This window comes from Homo sapiens, chromosome 12, assembly GCF_000001405.40.
Source record: "Homo sapiens chromosome 12, GRCh38.p14 Primary Assembly".
Lineage (NCBI taxonomy): Eukaryota > Metazoa > Chordata > Mammalia > Primates > Hominidae > Homo > Homo sapiens.
Window position 1 is genome coordinate 26654345 of NC_000012.12, and position 21596 is coordinate 26675940.

Below are 21596 nucleotides of genomic sequence, written 5' to 3' on the forward strand. Positions count from 1 at the left end.
CTTTAAGGTACTTAACAAAATTTACACTAGAATTATTTACATCCTAATTAAACATTAAGTAATTTAAGTCAGCAGGATGCCACTTAATAAATGGTTGCATCAATTAATTACCTTAATAAATGGCTATTATCCAAGAAATTTGCCCAGAAATCTATGTTCCCTATGCTGCTTTGTGGTCTTGTGGATCGCACAGGACATTCCAAGTGCGAGAGTCTACCTCCAAGATGTGGCCCCAGTGCACAGTCTCCCCCTACCACACTGTATCAGAGTTGGTCCAAGTAACCAACAGAAGTGATGACATGTCACTTCCAAGATTAGATTACAGAAGACTGCAACTTCCATCTTGTACTCTCTCTCTCTCTCTCTCAGATGGCTTGCTCTGAGGAAGCCAGGTACCATGTCATGAGGACACCCAGGCAGCCTACAGAAAGGCCCACATGGCAGGAAGCTGAGGTGCCAACAGCCAGCAAGGAGGTGTGGCCACCAACAACCCCTCCAGTGACCTTAGAAACAGACTGTCCAGCCCTAGATGGCTGCAATCCCAGTCAACAGCTTGCTGGCTACCCCATCACAGACCCTGAGCCAGAACCACCCAGCTAAGCTATTCCCAGGTTCCTGACCCATAGAAGCTATGATAATGTTTGTTGCTTCAGGCTGCAAGTTTTGGAGTAATTTGTTATACACCAGTAGGTAGCTAATACACCAGTTATCAAGTAACAGCATCCTTTCTCTAGTTTTGTCACTACATCCCCAAACTGAAAGTATTTCAATTCAGTTTGGTGAAAATAAAAACATCTCCATAGAGATAAAAAAAAGTATCCAAACATTTTACAAAATATGCAAAACTGCCTTTCTTTATTACATGCAAAAAATCTTACACAAATGAAACAAAAAATCAAGGGAAATAGTAATTAATAGACAATTATAAATAAAATGTTTTGTACTGGACATCAAAGCACCAAATCTATCTTCTAAAAATGGCAGAGAAGGCCGGGGGTGGTGGCTCACACCTGTAATCCCAGCACTTTGGGAGGCCGGGGCAGGTGGATCACGAGGTCAGGACATCGAGACCATCCCAGCTAACATGGTGAAACCCCGTCTCTACTAAAAATACAAAAAATTAGCCGGGCGTGGTGGCAGGCGCCTGTAGTCCCAGCTACTCGGGAGGCTGAGGCAGGAGAATGGCGTGAACCCGGGAGGCGGAGCTTGCAGTGAGCCGAGATCATGCCACTGCACTCCAGCCTGGGCGACCGAGTGAGACTCTGTCTCAAAAAAAAAAAAAAAAAAAGCAGAGAAAATAATACCTTCATGAACTAAACTACCCAGTTACCAAAACATCCTAAATATTAGAGGGACAAAGTACCTCAAATGTCAGTTTATTTTTTTCTTTATCCCCAAAAGGAAAGGGCTGGTTTACAACTTCTTTCAAATATTCTTCAACAAATTCCATTGTCAGGGCAAATTTCCTCTTCATATCATTTCTGGAAGAGTCTGTTATAGAATCATATCTGGAAATAGAGAAAGAAGATAACGCAAGTTAAACTGATTGCAATCATTTAAAAATAGGAAAACACACGTAGTTTCCTGGGTGCATAATCTTGGATAAATTAGTTAGCTTTCCTAGAGGCTGGGTCCTCATCTGTAAAATGGGGCTATTGTGAAATGAGTTAGCACGTGTAAAGCAGTTATATCAGTCTACCACAATATTAAGTACTTACAATTCTTGCTCATTACATCAATATTATTTACTGTTTTCTAGAAAGTGCCTTTATTACCACTGAGAGTTATCATTTCACCCTTCAAAACGAGTATCTTATTTGCATTTAGAAGATTAACAACCCAAGACAGGATACACAAATGCCTTTCCACATGTTTCATTTCAAAACTGTAGACATTTGACGTGGAGTTCATCTGATGAATTCCAAAGCCTCAAGACCTTTTTCCAAACATACTCATGAATTGTGATCTTTGTGGGGATTTCTGTCCAGAGCCTGGCATAGCGAACAGGCACCACGGACTCCTGGGGATCCCGGTCAACGTGCATGTGGAGCATGAGGCGACAGAAGGACGCTCGGAGGTCGAACGGCAGGCTCTCATCCGACACACACCGCAGGATCAGGTCTACAGACAGCTGTGTAGAAATCTGGTTTATGGCCAGATACTGGCGATCCAAGCACATCCTTGCAAAGAGGTTTAGCTGGTACCTTAAAAATGGTAAACATATTACATTATTGTCTTATCTCAAGGAAATCTTTAAACGTCATAGTACCAATCAGTATCTATGTTTAAGACACCTGTATTTCCAAGCATTCATGATATTGGAGTCAAACTCTTGACTGTAGTATGTTAACCATTAAGATCAAATGACAAGACATATATGAAACTGTCTCTATGTCCCTTCAGTTACAATACCTCTTACTTGTTTCAGCAAAATGTGTCTGCTGGAGAGTGTCACTAGGCACTCCATTCTGGGTTTCCTAGAATGACAAATACTGCACTCAGGCTGAAGGCTATGGGTAACAGCTCACATGAAACCATCTCTCTCCACCTTCGCCAGCCTCACTCAGCTTCTAGCTCTAGTGTCTACACTCCAGGTTTTGCCCCACTCAGTTCCCAAACCAAAAGTGATCAGTCCAAATGGCATGAGTCACTTGGCTTATCAGCCCAGTTTTGAGATTAAGAATTAGCCTTTGATTTGGTTGCTATAGCTGTAGAAACCAGGGAGCACAAAGCGTCATCTGTCTTTGTCTGATTCTTGCCATTTGGGCCCAACTTGGCCCCAAGGCTTCTGCCTTGGGTTTCTATACCTGCAACTCAAAGATGCCAGCTAGGTTCTTGCTCCCAATATATTGACCACCAGGAACTGCCTTCAGTACTTCCGCTGCCATATTCCGGGGCTGAACTTTCGTTAACTACAGGCACCAGTTTCTCTTAGGCTCTAGGTCACCACATATTCATAATCCACTCTATACTAAACTACTGGCTTACTTGCTCTGAGCTACCCTTGTAGCCAGATCAATTTCCTTAGCTCCATGTCTATATCCCTCTCAACTCCATCACCTAGGTCCTAACATGCCTCTCATCTGCCTCCACTCTACTCAATATGAGGACAAAGCCTTTGGCTGCACAATAATTCCAAGCTAGTGAGAAACCAGGAAATTACAAGTGGTGTATGCAGAAAATATAAATGTTAACTTTTATTTTGAATATTTTAAACAATACTAAATATTTCAGCTACCCTAGTTCTGACATGACTTTTAAAATTGCCTCTTCATAGATACCTAACTAGTGGCTACAGAGAACCAGTTCTCAATTAATATGTGAGACTGGGAATTATTGTAAGATTGTCTATAATACTTAACCTGTAATAGGTAAGAACTTCTAAGTCAGCTTTGGTGCCTTCTTTTGCCTCTTGAGCAAGGTGCCTGATAGCTTTGCCATGAGGTTCCTTGTTGCTGTCAATCCAATAGAGCCAAACTTCTTCATCATCAATGTCATCTGAAAGGATGGAGCTCTCCATGGGGTTGTCTGCTTGCATTGAGACCACCCTTCAAATAAATAGCACATACAAAAATCTACTAAAAAGTACACTTGTAAATATGACAAAGAATTACAGTGCTTACAAATAATCAACAGGAAAATGATGCATCCATTATCTGGGCTTACTTAGTTTGAATGAGAATGTCTGCATTGCCTGGACTCAACATAAATTTACAGATGAGTTCTTGAGTTACAGGGATAGCAGTGGTATTAGACACACACAGATCTGACAAATAATCCAAAAACCTGGCAAAAGAAAAAAATTAAATGGAATATGAAGACAAAGCATTTTATAAAAGCATCACAATAAAGACATAATTTGGAATATAATAAAATAAACTTATTATATGTTTTAATATTATTTCCACACAACATTTGTCTAATGTGTTGTTTATCTACTGCATCATTAGAAACAAATTAAACATACAATTCTTTTTATTTAATATAAGTCTTGTTTCAAAAAGGATGTGTTTGCTTCTATTTATTTTATGATATTCCACCCACAGCACCGTGACTTATGTTTAGAAAATCATTCATCTCCCCTAAAGTGAGTCTCCCCAGAGCTGAATATCAAAACAAAGGCAGATCAAAGCTAATGCTGTACTGAACAAAAGAGAAATAGAGCACACGCCTAATGAAAATTACTATGACCTGGTCAAGTCAGAGGCCCATTTCTACCTTCTAGCATTTATTTGCTGTGCTAATTAGCTAAGGAAACATTGCCAATTGGCTTGACTTGTCTGCACTCATTTCTTCAAGATAAGGCAGCATGGTACAACAGAAAAAGAGCTTGATGTGGAGTCAGAAGCCCTTGATTTACCTCGTATTCTATTCCTATCAGGGTACGCTTGGGCAAGTTGCTCACTCGGCTTCTATTTTCTCATCTCTAAAATGGGGATAATAATATACAACCAGTGTATCTCATACAAGTGTGCAAGGATCTAAATGAGATAATGTATATGAATGTATTTTGAGAAACCATAAAGTTCTATAAAATCATGAGGATTCAGAGTGAAAATCAATCACACTTAAGTATGTCTATAAAGGGCTCTGATCTCTTATGAGGTAATAACTCTTTATTATATACAATTATTATAGCAATAAGCCCAACATAGTTCGTCCATAAAAGTTAGTGATGTGAAAGAACTCTAACTTTTAAAAGTTCTAAAAATAAAACATAAAGCCGCAATCTCCACTAGAAAAGAATACCGCATGAATCATTTCAAACCTTGGCTCCCGATTTCTCCTGAGTAAACTGACAAATGTTTCTATTTCTTTTGCTGTGATATGTTTCTCTAGTAGTTTTCTGTTGTTGTGCAACAAAGCTGTGATAGTATCTTCTGCCAAAATATCATAGCCAATCTGGGACTGCATGACACAGAAATTCTTAGCAATATATTCCTGCAAAGAAGAAAGGCTGTCAGAATGCACTGCCAAACAGCTTACAAATAACAGGTTCTATTAGGGTCAACAACATTGATTAATTTATTCACAACAGAAGGTTCACTAAAAATTTTCTCAAAAGAAAAGCAAGTAAATTTTTCAATAAATAGAGCTTTTTGAGGAAAGACATGAAAACATACTGGCATATACGTTTTTGAACTTCTACTAAAAAATTATACACCTAGAAATAATTATCAGTATAGGTATTTTGGAAATACCTATTTCCAAAGTGGGAAAAATAAATCTAATTAAAGTAAGTTTTTATGACACAATAACTTTGGATTTCATCAGTCTAACAGAGGCTAAGTGGGAAAAATAAATCTAATTAAAATAAGCTTTTATGACACAATAACTTTGGATTTCATCAGTCTAACAGAGGCTTTTCTTCTATCTCTTACTTAAAGTCATAGCCAATGATTTGGGCATAATTATAGAAAAGAAAATGACTGCCTGATATTTCATTCATGAGACATGAGATCTGGGTTGTTACCTGAAGATCCTAGATGGACTTGGATTGATTCCTTTTCTGTGAATAGGCTGGAATGATCTGTAAGATCTTTTCTTTAAAATAATGGTAAAATGTCATATACTTTTTATCTTTAAAAAGCCACCAAACAGGGCAATGTGATTAATCACTTTATTGATTAGATCCATTTGCCCAATAAATGTTTCTTGAAGGCCTATGCTGAAGAAGTGACATTTGAGCTAGGATGGGAATGAAGAGAACGAGGCAGCCATTGGAAGACCTAAAGGGAAGCCATCTAGGCAGTGGGAATAGCCAGTGCAAAGGCCCTGAGGTAGTAGAACCAAGCTTATGTTCTATCAACAGAAGGTGGCCATTGTAGCTAGGCAGTGGTAAGGGGCAGAAAGCAAAGTCGAAGTTTGAGAGGTAGGTCAAAAGAATCCTTGTGAGCCATGGTAAAGGGCAAAGAGATTGTGCTAAAAGTAAGAGAAAGCCACTGGGGAGGTTCAATCATGTTATTGTTTGATCTACTCCTTATTCATCACACTAATTTTCCTATATCCCAAACCACTATTGTTCATCTCCCACGTTCTATCTACAAGCAGCACATCTCACACTGCCATGGGACTGGTGAGCTTCTCCCCCTTCCACCATGAAAGGTTCTTACTTTGATTCCTTGGGATTCTCCCTGGAAATGTGTCTTTGTTTCTCTGACAAGACAACTGATAGATTAGAAAGTGGTTTTGCCTTAGGTAAAATTTACTGGAATGTACCTATTCCTTGAAAATGATATTGGTTGCACAAATCTAATTATATGCTAAGCAGCATTTTTGTGGCCCTTCAGAATGATGGCTTTGTGTATTGGGGAGCCAGTTAAGTAAAGTAAATGTCTTCTGTTATTATATCATTTTAAGGATACATATTGATTTATACACTTTCATGACTACTGTAGTCATACTCTGGTACAAGGCAAACATCCAAAAATGTTAATAAATAACTAAATGAAATTAGAGGTGGTATCAAATTTTATAAATAGTAATAAATAGATCTTCAATATTAAATATATGGGTGAGTGTTAAGTCACAAATGAACTTCCTATTAGGACTACAACATATAGGTGAAGATAAAGAAAAACAAAGTAATTATAGCCATAATGCTATATAATATATACTACATAATAATAATAATATAGAACATTTTTAAATGTTCTAAAAAATCAGAAAGCTGCTTTATGCTTACTACCAAGCATTCTTAACTCAATAGAAATGAGAAAAACATTTCCCAGCTATCACTGAGATTCAATTAGAACACACAACAGAAAGGGAAGAAAAATAAAATATAACCCTTAACAAATGCTGGGGATTCTTTATTCCTTTATCATCTATGCTCTAACTCTATGCTCCAAAGAAACCCAGAAGGCAGGTCCCTAAAGTGCATAAACATGTACCTGAAAGGAGTGATATGACTAGGTAGGGGTGTGTGTGTGGGGGGGGGGGGGTGGGAGGGAACGGGCACGTGCACGAGCGCACACGTGTGTGTGTTTGTGTGTGTGTACGCACACACTGATCCCTGGCCAAGACTGAGAGGGGAGTGAGAAAGAACCATGTGTGCCAGACCTTGAGAGACAGAACTGACACCAGGTAAGACATGTCGCCCAGGGAACCTACTACTGACTAGCAGAATAACCAAATCCAAAGTGAGCTGGCTCCCTGCCATCCCAAAGCACAGGGCTATAGAAAAGGGAAGGGGCCCCAAGTACTCTTCCAAAGGCTGACAGCCATCAAGGAGGGTGCACATCATGGGACCTGATGGGCCTGAGGGCCCTGGGTAGCCTCTATAGACCTGTTAGGTATTTTTTCTGTTAATGTCAATCTCTATAATACAGCACTGCTCGTACGGGTGAAGTGGTGACCAGTCTCACAAGTGTATTTCTCCAAACCCAAGAAGAAAAACCAGAGCAAGGAGAAAACATTGAGCAGCCTCTCATTTCCCTTCCCCACTCCAGACCTCCACTAAAAACTCAGGGTCCGATACTGGGAGCATCCCCTAACACTGCCTCCAAGTGCTTGAAGGAAGGCCATTTAATGTCCTGCTACTTAATTCTTCTTCCAAAAAAATATGAACAACACTATCTACTTCATCTTGCCATCTTAAAGGAACCCAATGAAGTCCGGAAAAATAATTCTAGTGACAGCATTTGGATCAGCAAGAAGGGTGTTTATAACTAGGATTATATTAGACAATATTTAAGGATTTGTTTATATCACCCCTAGCTCTTACTCCTATTCCTTGCCATATTATTTATCTTCTAGCTAATGTTTTTATATACTCTTTTCAGACCTTTCTTACTCTTCAAACAGAATTGTGAAGCCAAAACATTTTAACACAGTCTTCCTCAAGCAAATCTTTTTTTCTTCCCCAAAAATGTTCAAACTACCAAGATGCAATAGTGTGATGATTCAGAGCCTGGGTTTGCATACTGGTTCCATTCTTAAACTATCACCTTGGACAAATTACTTAACCTCTCTGTGCCTCTATCCTTCATCTTAATTCAGTGTTAACTGAATTAATTCATGACAAGTATTTACAACTGAGCCTGGTACAAAGTAAGCACACAATAAATACTACTAACTCTTCCCAAATAACCTCCACCTTCTAGGATTGACATCCTAGGCCCTAGTGGCTTAGCCCACCCTGCCCTTCCAGCCCTCTCCCACACCATCCTTCTTCATGGACCAAACTCATCAATGAAACTTACAGTGATGCACTCTGCCCTCAAATGGATTAAGAGAAACCCTAATTTATCAAACAATAATTAATTTTATACAATTGTATGTTAGACATTTACATTATTGAACACATTGCAAAATATTAAGCTTGTGTTTTGTTTTGTTTTTTATGAGGCAGGGTCTCATTCTGTTGCTCAGGCTGGAGTGTACTAGTGTGATCATAACTCACTACAGCCTCGAACTCCTAGGCTGAAGTGATCCTCCAGCCTTAGCCTCCTTAGTAGCTGGAACTACAGACACACACCACCACACCCAGGTATTTTTCGTTTTTGTAGAGATGGGGGCCTCGCTATATTGCCTAGGCTGGTCTAGAACTCCTGGCCTTGAGTAATCCCCCCACCTTGGCCTCCTAAAGTGTTGGGATTACAGGCTTGAGCCACGCCACCTGGTTTGTATTTTTAAGATAAAAATGAGACTTAAGAGAAATTTCACTTGCAACTGGCAACTGTTAGCTGTACCCCTAGATCCATCTGGGTTCCCTGACCTCAGCAGTTGCAAATATCTTAGGGGAAACGTGTCCTTTCTAGCATCTATCATTCTCACTTCATAGATCTCTCTTCACAAATACCTCTTCCCATACAATTTATGAAAATGATTCTCATCCTACCCAAAGGCTTCCTTCTCCAAGTATTCTTCCTTGGTTCCCAAAGCCACCACTGGGCTCTCCCTCTGGTGAATTCCCATAACTCTATCTTTTCTCTCTGTGTCTTTTCTTTGTCTCCCATCATATCTTTTCCACTAAACTATAACCTCTTTGGTCCATACACGGTGATGCTGTACCTCACATGTTCCTCAAGCCAAAAATGTTCCATTCCTCCTTACATAATAGATCCAGGATGTCCTGGCCACCAGGAACCAATAACAGGCACATATTAGTACTCAGGACATCCTCCCCCAGTGATTCTAATTTCATATGGAAGAATAAAGCCATGTTCAATACAACTCAAAAATACTTACAAATCATTTTTATGTATTGCCCAACATAAAATATTTCATTTCAAAGTGAAATTTCCCATTCCTACTTTCTATGCTGTAGAATTATAACCAAAGAACCTTGCCCATACTTTACATATGAAACAGTTTAAAATGGGGGCTACCCTCTGACCTGATTTTTCCGGTAATCCTGCTGCGAGTGTCTCAGGACGCGGTAACAGAGCCGCAGCATGTACTTGTAGGGTGCATATCTTTGATCCCCCAGATCTTCAAGTCTCAGCATCGAGCCTTCTCCTGCTTTCTCTTTAAAGGGTGCTTTAAGAATTCCAAATACCTATCAGGAATAAAAACAGCCACCTATTCTGATGAATAAAATGTTTTGCAACCTTTTTTTTTTAACAAATAAGAACATTGATTCAAAAAACACTTATATAAATTTGAGTATTAGAGTAAACGGGAAAAACAAAAGGATTTACGTTACAGGACCAACATATCAAGGATCAGAAAAGTACTGCCAAAAGGGTCACCTACATTGAGTGACAAAAACATTCTTTAAATAAAATGCTTAATTTTGTTTAGAAATCATATTTTATAAAATAAGAAATATGAAGATGTTCAATTTCACCAAGTTACATGAACATATTCAGATGAACTAAAATGTAGCTTGATTTCTAGGGGCTTTATAATAAGTTTCTTCTATTATTTTCTATAACCTTTCAAAATCAAAATAATATAAAGAAAACATTTACTTTTCTTTAAAACTGACATCAGAAAATGACTTCCAAACATTGCTTCTAAACTGCTTTATAAAAGAGTTAATTTACTGTTTTTGTATACAAAGATGTGGCCAAATCGATGAACATATCAGCATTCAAATGTGACAAATTAGGAGCCACATGGGCAGCTGGTGGCTCCCAGTAAGCCAGATTCTTGTAAGAAGGTTAGCAGTTAGGAAGCATTTAAAAAGCATTGAGGAATATAACTCTTTTCGGCAGCAAGACAGCAGGAGGGATCACCTGGAGATGAGCTGCTAGAATGAGGAAATTGTCTATGAAAGAGCGGTCAAGGGCATGAACATTAATACATGAAAACAAAATAGAAAGGAATTATTCTTTGGAATTCATGAAATATGATATGAACTAAAGTTTCTTTAATAATTTTGTATTCACTAAGCCTTTAATTTTATATTTATCAAACAAAAATAAAATATTTGACATATGTTGGTTAAAATATTATTAATTAATTATCCAAGGTCCTAAAAGTCTTTGAAATCAAATTTTTTATATAATAATTACTCGAAAAAAGTCCTATTAGATTTGCAACCTTTATTTTATTTGAGAAAAAAGTTGATTTTGTATTTTCAGACAATCAGCTACATATAATAACTAACATTATGTCTACTATTTTCCTTTCCCAAATCAATAAGAATATGTGTATCAAGAACATGATTTTTATGTTTTAAGTATCTTCCTTGAGTCTATACTTCATTAATGAAGAAACTCATTAATTTAAATAGCAATTAATAGAATAAAAATAATACATAAACGTAGGCATGTCCATATGTGCATATCATTAGGAAGTGAATCAATTTACTGACGTGTTATGAACAATTTCAAGAAGATGTAATACAGGAGCAGTTCTGTACTTTCAGGGAAGAAAACTAGAATATTGTACAGAGCACTCGTGAGCTGATGAACAGACTGCCCTACTTTCCCAGGGAAGAGAAGGAAAGAAGTAGGAAGCAGATGGAGATGGCACTTTCCAAGTTCACCTGGAAATTCTACCTAGGAATTTTTCCAACATATTTTCTGGAGATAGTCTGACTATGCAGGGTTTTTGGAGGTCCATGGTAGGCTGTCTCTACAATGGTCTCTGATATTCCTGCCTCCTGATATTCATAGCCTCATCGAATCCTCTCTCCTTAACTACGGGTTAGATTTATTAACCCATTTCTAACTAATAGAACACAGTAGAACTGATGTTACTTCTAAGATTACGTTCTACAAAGATGGTAGCTTCTACCTGAGCGTCCTCTCTAGTTCTCTCTTGGATCCCTCAGTTCTAAGAAAGCAAGCTGCCTTGTCTTGAGGCACTCCTGAGAGATGCCTATGTGAGAGGGCTGGAAGGCAAGTCCTCTCTCAGTTGAACCTTGAGATGCCTGCAGCCCCAGCAAACACCTTGACTGCAGCCTGGTGAGAGACCCTGAGTGAGATCTGCCCATGTAAGCCACGCCTAGATCACTACTCCACAGAAACTGTGAGACAAGAAGTATCTTGTTTTCAGCCACTAAGTTTTGGGATCATTTGCTTCATAGTAATAGATAACTAATACAAGGCCTTTCCTGATACTGTAATTCAGAAAATAAAATATACAAATTTAGTACATGAAAAAATTCACCTGTGCCAGTATGTTTTGTTCCCTCATCAATTTTTGACGCTCTCGGTTTGGCTTAGTGATAACCACATCCAGAACTTCTTGTCCATTATTAGGCACATCAGCAACAAAGAATATGAGATCTTCCAATAATTTGGTTACAAACCTATTACAAAATGAAAAGGAAATTTTACTTTACAGTGTGCTTAATTTTGGAAAATGTATAGATAGATGATAGGTAGGTAGGTAGAGATAGATAGATAGATAGATAGATAGATTTTTTTTTACTTTTTCTTCAGGAGTGGAACTCAAATCCATGGAAATTTCTTTTTATTAAATAATAAGAACTGAAACACTTGAAAACAAGGTGTTTTATAATAAAAAAGTATTTAATTGACAAAAGATAATCTCTAAGGCAGTTACTGTTTACCTAAGCCTTTACAAAGAAAATTCCTTCTCCAGCATCTCCAATCTCTACTTGCGCCTCCAGTTCTCATCAAGCGTTTGCAGACTATTATCAAATAAAGCCATGTGAGTCGCAACTGCACACGAGTTGGTAGGATGACACCACCAGATGCCTTTCCACAACTGACTAGCAAAGCAGCATACTTCTGCTTAAGGGAAAACAGCTATACTAAATTCCTAAATTCCAATCCTTTTTCTTTCTTTTTTTACTGTTAAACTACATTTCCTAATCCTCGCCACATTTCAACTTGCCCAATGTACAGAACAGGAAAAACTTAAATGACCTATGAATAGAGACAGAGTAAGCAATCTGACACTCAAAATACTGGAAGTATTAAATGACCTATCAAAATCGTGAAATTCTAAAACCATACACCAATGTTCACTTTTAAATCTATATTTTGGTTATTATTACAACTATTACTTGAACTTCAGTGGCATGTAGTACAGGAAATGTCTTGAAAGCCTTCCTCTCTTCACTTTTCTCCTCCTCCTTCCTCTGCCTGCTCTTTATCATTTTCCATTTGTGTTAGTCGATTGAGGGAGGGGGCAGGGGTTCAAGCTATTGCAAAAATGGGTAAACAGATGAGGAATCTGTATTGGAAGGGTCAAGGCATTTTTTAAATTGTATTAATGGTAAAGTACAACTTAATTACTCAATAAACACATACTTTTTTTGGTATAGACAAAAGCTGACCAATAAACAGTTAAATTAGCTTCATCCATATAGTGTTAGCATCTTTATTCACTGTTATTAGCATGTGAATACAATGATGCTAATCATGAATACATTCATAAGAAAACTACATTTTAAGAGCTTCAACAATTCCAGGAAAGTATAGAATGTATTCAGTTGGAAAACATCTCTTTTCTTCTCTTTCAATACCTTTGGTAAGAAAACATCCTGATCCTATCTCCCGATTTATGTCTTGAAAGAGAATGCACTTCCTGCAGCCAAGTGGACACACCTAGAATCCATAATTTAGTCACCCAGAGAAATTTCAGTATACTTCCAGGGATCATAAACTCCATTCCAAAATTCCTGGGATTCTATGTTTTCTTGGTATGCCTATTTTAAATTGTAACCCAGTCTGTTTCTTTTGGAAAATTGTGTCTAACTGACAGGATTCACTGACATAGTTACGTGTAATCTCTGAAGGCAGCCACAGAAACGTAAAACCCGTTTCATGTGCATCAAAATGTGGTGTGAACTTCTTTTGAAATTGTGATTTAATGTCCTCCAAATCATTCTGTTGCTCTTAAAACAAAACAAAACAAATTTGGAGCGGAGGTTACTTCAGCAAAATGAAAAAAAGTTGAACTTAAGTTTCTATATGCCCAATGCAAGTCCAGTTTGAGCATAAATATTTGTATTTTATTTTTTAAATTAGTAAGATTCCTTTTCTCTTGCTGTTTCAATAACTATAATCAAATATTTAGATATCTAAGAAAGTAAAATTTTGTGAGCAACTACAGATCGCTCTGTTTCAAAGTCATTCAAATGCCCTGAAAATTGGTGACGGTTAATGGAATGATGACGACGAACATTAACAGTCTTGATTGCAAATCACATGTCAACCCTACATGTAAAGCCCACCTCTTCATGACAAGGCCATGGAAGCCAGGAAAAGCAACCTTCTCTTTTGACCTCTGAAACTGCTGAAACCTTTTTTTGACCTTGCACCTCAAGCATCCCCTTTGTGGCAAAACAAAAAAGCTGGTTTGTTTTCAGTTTAGATCAAACTCTGATTCTATACTGGGCAGTGGGTAGCTCCTACTAGCTCACGCATTTGCTTTTTAAGCTTTATGGAAAATGAACAAAATAAGAAAAACACAGTGAGGAACAGGGATGATTTCAACTCTTGCAAGGTAAGAGGGACCAAAAACACATGATAGGGAAATAAACTAAACATATAAAACAGAGACAAACATATGGCTTCTCTAACCTCTTAAAGAAAACTTAAAGTTCAGTGGCCCTTATTTGGGCTTTGGCTGTGCAGTGGTAGCAGGAAACAACAGATACACATGGATAGGGCTGGACCCAGCCACCAGCAATCTCCATGATTAAAGTCTCAAATTACCAGAGAACATGGACTCTCAGCTCTCGATATCAGATCTGGCTCTGGCCTAGTTGAGGGAAGCCAGGTAGAAGCAAGCATAAAACTGATAGAGAAGACAAGTGAATGTAGAGAAAGGAAAAACAAAAATCTCCCACCTAAGAAAATCATGCATAGTAAAAGTCCAAAGCACATAAGGAAAGCTGACATTGAGGAAGATAGCCACCATACAGTATCAGGAGGCTACTCCACCATCAACAAAATCCGAGTAACAAAACAGTTTCAAAATAAGTTTTAAATGAGTGTGTATTCAGTCTTCAAAGAGATAAACAAAGCAATATATTAAAAAGACAACGTATTTTAAAAAGGCCAATATAAATGAAAAATAGGTGGATATACCAAAAAAAAAAATCTGAGAGATAAAAATTATAGGCTGAGCACAGTGGCTCATGCCTGTAATCCCAGCATTTTGGGAGGTTGAGGCAGGGGGATTGCTTGAGCCCGAGTTCAAAATCAGCCAGGGCAACATAGTGAAACCCGTTTGCACAAAACAATTAAAAAATTAGTTGGTGAGGTGGCATGCGCCTATGGTCCCAGCTACTCAGGCAGCTGAGGCAAGAGGAATTGCTGAAACCTGGGAGGTCAAGGCTGCAGTGAGCTGTGTGATTGCACCACTGCATTCCAGCTTGGGTGACAGGGCAAGATCCTGTCTCAAAAAAAAAATTATTATTATTATAATTATTTAAATAAAAATTTAACTGAAGAAGGAAAATTATTCTACATACATTCTAAAAATATTATTAATCTATAAGGCAGTATCAAAAATTGATCCAGATACTAGCAAAGAGAACTATTAAAAGGCAAATAATAAAAGGGAAGTTAAGAGAGAAAGAAGAGGAATTAAGAGGATCCAACATATATCTCATAAAAGTTCCAAAAGACAGAAAGGAGGAAAAAGACAAAGAAGCAATATTTGCAGGAAAACGGCTGAAAATTTCCAAGAATTGAAGGCAGAAATAAGTATTCAGATTAAAAGTATACCTTAAGTGTCAAATGAGAAAAAACAAAAATAAAACTCCTTTGTAAACACATCATGGTGAAACTTAAGACATCAAAAGCAAAGAAAAATAATCTATAAAATTACCAAGTCGGGGGAGGAGCCAAGATGGCCGAATAGGAACAGCTCGGGTCTACAGCTCCCAGCGTGAGTGAAGCAGAAGACCGGTGATTTCTGCATTTCCATCTGAGGTACCGGGTTCATCTCACTAGGGAGTGCCAGACAGTGGGCGCAGGTCAGTGGGTGCAGCGCACCATGCGCGAGCCGAAGCAGTGCGAGGCATTGCCTCACTCAGGAAGCGCAAGGGGTCAGGGAGTTCCCTTTCCTAGTCAAAGAAAGAGGTGAAAGATAGCACCTGGAAAATCGGGTCACTCCCACCCGAGTACTGCGCTTTTCCGACGGGCTTAAAAAACGGCGCACCAGGAGATTACATCCCACACATGGCTGGGAGGGTCCTACGCCCATGGGGTCTCGCTGATTGCTAACGCAGCAGTCTGAGATCAAACTGCAAGGCGGCAGCGAGGCTGGGGGAGGGGTGCCCGCCATTGCCCAGGCTTGCTTAGGTAAACAAAGCAGCCTGAAGCTCGAACTGGGTGAAGCCCACCACAGCTCAAGGAGGCCTGCCTGCCTCTGTAGGCTCCACCTCTGGGGGCAGGGCACAGACAAACAAAAAGACAGCAGTAACCTCTGCAGACTTAAATGTCCCTGTCTGACAGCTTTGAAGAGAGCATTGGTTCTCCCAGCATGCAGCTGGAGATCTGAGAACGGGCAGACTGCCTCCTCAAGTGGGTCCCTGACCCCTGACCCCTGAGCAGCCTAACTGGGAGGCACCCCCCAGTAGGGGCAGACTGACACTTCACACGGCCGGGTACTCCTCTGAGACAAAACTTCCAGAGGAACGATCAGACAGCAGCACTCACGGTTCACGAAAAACTGCTGTTATACAAACACCGCTGCTGATACCCAGGCAAACAGGGTCTGGAGTGGACCTCTAGCAAACTCCAACAGACCTGCAGCTGAGGGTCCTGTCTGTTAGAAGGAAAACTAACAAACGGAAAGGACATCCACACCAAAAACCCATCTGTACATCACCATCATCAAAGACCAAAAGTAGATAAAACCACAAAGATGGGGAAAAAACAGAGCAGAAAAACTGGAAACTCTAAAAAGCAGAGCACCTCTCCTCCTCCAAAGGAACGCAGTTCCTCACCAGCAATGGAACAAAGCTGGACGGATAATGACTTTTACGAGTTGAGAGAAGAAGGCTTCAGACGATCAAACTACTCCGAGCTACAGGAGGAAATTCAAACCAAAGGCAAAGAAGTTAAAAACTTTGAAAAAAATTTAGACGAATGTATAACTAGAATAACCAATACAGAGAAGTGCTTAAAGGAGCGATGGAGCTGAAAGCCAAGGCTCGAGAACTACCTGAAGAATGCAGAAGCCTCAGGAGCCAATGCGATCAACTGGAAGAAAGGGTATCAGCAATGGAAGATGAAATGAATGAAATGAAGCGAGAAGGGAAGTTTAGAGAAAAAAGAATAAAAAGAAATGAACAAAGCCTCCAAGAAATATGGGACTATGTGAAAAGACCAAATCTACGTCTGATTGGTGTACCTGAAAGTGACGGGGAGAATGGAACCAAGTTGGAAAACACTCTGCAGGATATTATCCAGGAGAACTTCCCCAATCTAGCAAAGCAGGACAACATTCAGATTCAGGAAATACAGAGAACGCCACAAAGATACTCCTCAAGAAGAGCAACTCCAAGACACATAATTATCAGATTCACCAAAGTTGAAATGAAGGAAAAAATGTTAAGGGCAGCCAGAGAGAAAGGTTGGGTTACCCACAAAGGGAAGCCCATCAGACTAACAGCAGATCTCTCAGCAGAAACTCTACAAGCCAGAAGACAGTGGGGGCCAATATTCAACATTCTTAAAGAAAAGAATTTTCAACCCAGAATTTCATATCCAGCCAAACTAAGCTTCATAAGTGAAGGAGAAATAAAATACTTTACAGACAAGCAAATGCTGAGAGATTTTGTCACCACCAGGCCTGCCCTAAAAGAGGTCCTGAAGGAAGCACTAAACATGGAAAGGAACAACTGGTACCAGCCGCTGCAAAATCATGTCAAAATGTAAAGACCATCGAGACTAGGAAGAAACTGCATCAACTAACGAGCAAAATAACTAGCTAACATCATAATGACAGGATCAAATTCACACATAACAATATTAACTTTAAATGTAAATGGACTAAATGCTCCAATTAAAAGACACAGACTGGCAAATTGGATAAAGAGTCAAGACTCATCAGTGTGCTGTATTCAGGCAACCTATCTCACGTGCAGAGACACACATAGGCTCAAAATAAAAGGATGGAGGAAGATCTACCAAGCAAATGGAAAACGAAAAAAGGCAGGGGTTGCAATCCTAGTCTCTGATAAAACAGACTTTAAACCAACAAAGATCAAAACAGACAAAGAAGGCCATTACATAATGGTAAAGGGATCAATTCAACAAGAAGAGCTAACTATCCTAAATATATATGCACCCAATACAGGAGCACCCAGATTCATAAAGCAAGTCCTGAGTGACCTACAAAGAGACTTAGACTCCCACACATTAATAATGGGAGATGTTAACACCCCACTGTCAACATTAGACAGATCAATGACACAGAAAGTTAACAAGGATACCCAGGAATTGAACTCAGCTCTGCACCAAGCAGACCTAATAGACATCTACAGAACTCTCCACCCCAAATCAACAGAATATACATTGTTTTCAGCACCACACCACACCTATTCCAAAATTGACCACATAGTTGGAAGTAAAGCTCTCCTCAGCAAATGTAAAAGAGCAGAAATTATAACAAACTATCTCTCAGACTACAGTGCAATCGAACTAGAACTCAGGATTAAGAAACTCACTCAAAACCACTCAACTACATGGAAACTGAAAAACCTGCTCCTGAATGACTACTGGGTACATAACGAAATGAAGGCAGAAATAAAGATGTTCTTTGAAACCAACGAGAACAAAGACACAACATACCAGAATCTCTGGGACACATTCAAAGCAGTGTGTAGAGGGAAATTTATAGCACTAAATGCCCACAAGAGAAAGCAGGAAAGATCCAAAATTGACACCCTAACATCACAATTAAAAGAACTAGAAAAGCAAGAGCAAACACATTCAAAAGCTAGCAGAAGGCAAGAAATAACTAAAATCAGAGCAGAACTGAAGGAAATAGACACAAAAAACCCTTCAAAAAAATCAATGAATCCAGGAGCTGGTTTTTTGAAAGGATCAACAAAATTGATAGACTGCTAGCAAGACTAATAAAGAAAAAAAGAGAGAAGAATCAAATAGACGCAATAAAAAATGATAAAGGGGATATCACCACCGATCCCACAGAAATACAAACTACCATCAGAGATTACTACAAACACCTCTATGCAAATAAACTAGAAAATCTAGAAGAAATGGATAAATTCCTTGACACATACACTCTCCCAAGACTAAACCAGGAAGAAGCTCTGAATAGACCAATAACAGGAGCTGAAATTGTGGCAATAATCAATAGCTTACCAACCAAAAAGAGTCCAGGACCAGATGGATTCACAGCCGAATTCTACCAGAGATACAAGGAGGAACTGGTATCATTCCTTCTGAAACTATTCCAATCAATAGAAAAAGAGGGAATCCTCCCTAACTCATTTTATGAGGCCAGCATCATCCTGATACCAAAGCTGGGCAGAGACACAACCAAAAAAGAGAATTTTAGACCAATATCCTTGATGAACATTGATGCAAAAATCCTCAATAAAATACTGGCAAACCAAATCCAGCAGCACATCAAAAAGCTTATCCACCATGATTAAGTGGGCTTCATCCCTGGGATGCAAGGCTGGTTCAATATACGCAAATCACTAAATGTAATCCAGCATATAAACAGAACCAAAGACAAAAACCACATGACTATCTCAATAGATGCAGAAAAGGCCTTTGACAAAATTCAACAACCCTTCATGCTAAAAACTCTCAATAAATTAGGTATTGATGGGACGTATCTCAAAATAATAAGAGCTATCTATGACAAACCCACAGCCAATGTCATACTGAATGGGCAAAAACTGGAAGCATTCCCTTTGAAAACTGGCACAAGACAGGGATGCCCTCTCTCACCACTCCTATTCAACATAGTGTTGGAAGTTCTGGCCAGGGCAATTAGGCAGGAGAAGAAAATAAAGGGTATTCAATTAGGAAAAGAGGAAGTCAAATTGTCCCTGTTTGCAGATGACATGATTGTATATCTAGAAAACCCCATTGTCTCAGCCCAAAATCTCCTTAAGCTGATAAGCAACTTCAGCAAAGTCTCAGGATACAAAATCAATGTACAAAAATCACAAGCATTCTTATACAACAATAACAGACAAACAGAGAGCCAAATCATGAGTGAACTCCCATTCACAATTGCTTCAAAGAGAATAAAATACCTAGGAATCCACCTTACAAGGGATGTGAAGGACCTCTTCAAGGAGAACTACAAACCACTGCTCAATGAAATAAAAGAGGACACAAACAAATGGAAGAACATTCCATGCTCATGGGTAGGAAGAATCAATATCGTGAAAATGGCCATACTGCCCAAGGTAATTTATAGATTCAATGCCATCCCCATCAAGCTACCAATGACTTTCTTCACAGAATTGGAAAAAACTACTTTAAAGTTCATATGGAACCAAAAAAGAGCCTGCATCGCCAAGTCAATCCTAAGCCAAAAGAACAAAGCTGGAGGCATCACGCTACCTGACTTCAAACTATACTACAAGGCTATAGTAACCAAAACAGCATGGTACTGGTACCAAAACAGAGATATAGACCAATGGAACAGAACAGAGCCCTCAGAAATAACACCGCATATCTACAACTATCTGATCTTTGACAAACCTGAGAGAAACAAGCAATGGGAAAAGGATTCCCTATTTAATAAATGGTGCTGGGAAAACTGGCTAGCCATATGTAGAAAGCTGAAACTGGATCCCTTCCTTACACCTTATATAAAAATCAATTCAAAATGGATTAAAGACATAAACGTTAGACCTAAAATCATAAAAACCCTAGAAGAAAACCTAGGCATTACCATTCAGGACATAGGCATGGGCAAGGACTTCATGTCTAAAACACCAAAAGCAATGGCAACAAAAGCCAAAACTGACAAATGGGATCTAATTCAACTAAAGAGCTTCTGCACAACAAAAGAAACTACCATCAGAGTGAACAGGCAACCCACAAAATGGGAGAAAATTTTCGCAACCTACTCATCTGACAAAGGGCTAATATCCAGAATCTACAATGAACTCCAACAAATTTACAAGAAAAAAACAAACAACCCCATCAAAAAGTGGGCAAAGGACATGAATAGACACTTCTCAAAAGAAGACATTTATGCAGCCAAAAAACACATGAAAAAATGCTCACCATCACTGGCCATCAGAGAAATGCAAATCAAAACCACAATGAGATATCATCTCACACCAGTTAGAATGGCAATCATTAAAAAGTCAAGAAACAACAGGTGCTGGAGAGGATGTGGAGAAATAGGAACACTTTTACACTGTTGGTGGGACTGTAAACTAGTTCAACCATTGTGGAAGTCAGTGTGGCAATTCCTCAGGGATCTAGAACTACAAATACCATTTGACCCAGCCATCCCATTACTGGGTATATACCCAAAGGACTATAAATCATGCTGTTATAAAGACACATGCACATGCATGTTTATTGCGGCACTATTCACAATAGCAAAGACTTGGAACCAACCCAAATGTCCAACAATGATAGACTGGATTAAGAAAATGTGGCACATATACACCATGGAATACTATGTAGCCATAAAAAATGATGAGTTCATGTCCTTTGTAGGGACATGGATGAAATTGGAAATCATCATTCTCAGTAAACTATCGCAAGAACAAAAAACCAAACACCACATGTTCTACTCATAGGTGGGAATTGAACAATAAGAACATATGTTCACAGGAAGGGGAACATCACACTCTGGGGACTGTTGTGGGGTGGGGGAAGGGGGGAGGGATAGCATTGGGAGATATACCTAATGCTAGATGACGAGTTAGTGGGTACAGCGCACCAGCATGGCACATGTATACATATGTAACTAACCTGCACATTGTGCACATGTACCCTAAAACTTAAAGTATAATAATAAAAAAAAAATTACCAAGTCAAGAAAAATTACCAGTGAAGAATAACAAGTCTATTGACAGCAGATTTCTTAACAGCAACAAGAGATGCTAGAAAATAATTAAATTTTAGCTTTAAAATACAGATAGAAAGTAATTATCAATCTAACATCTCTATAAAGTATCACTTAAGAGTAATGGCAAGAGTGCAGTGGCTCACGCCTGTAATCCCAGCACTTTGGGAGGCAGAGGCGGGCAGATCACC

At 38.9% G+C, this 21596-nt stretch overlaps 1 protein-coding gene across 8 annotated transcripts in view; it reads right to left on the reverse strand.

Moving 5' to 3' along the window:
- Positions 1-21596, reverse strand: part of ITPR2 (inositol 1,4,5-trisphosphate receptor type 2) — a 497843-nt gene that overhangs the window by 318993 nt on the left and 157254 nt on the right. For all 8 annotated transcript variants that reach the window (XR_001748686.3, XR_001748687.2, NM_001414174.1 and 5 more), the window contains 7 exons: positions 11566-11707; positions 9341-9502; positions 4769-4941; positions 3667-3786; positions 3363-3548; positions 1953-2204; positions 1364-1508 (listed from right to left, as the gene is read on the reverse strand). Coding sequence is in view for 6 of the 8 variants with exons in the window: in NM_001414174.1 (NP_001401103.1) it covers positions 1364-1508; positions 1953-2204; positions 3363-3548; positions 3667-3786; positions 4769-4941; positions 9341-9502; positions 11566-11707 (1180 nt within the window). In the remaining 2 variants the exon portion in view is untranslated. The remainder of the gene's footprint in view (positions 1-1363; positions 1509-1952; positions 2205-3362; positions 3549-3666; positions 3787-4768; positions 4942-9340; positions 9503-11565; positions 11708-21596) is intronic.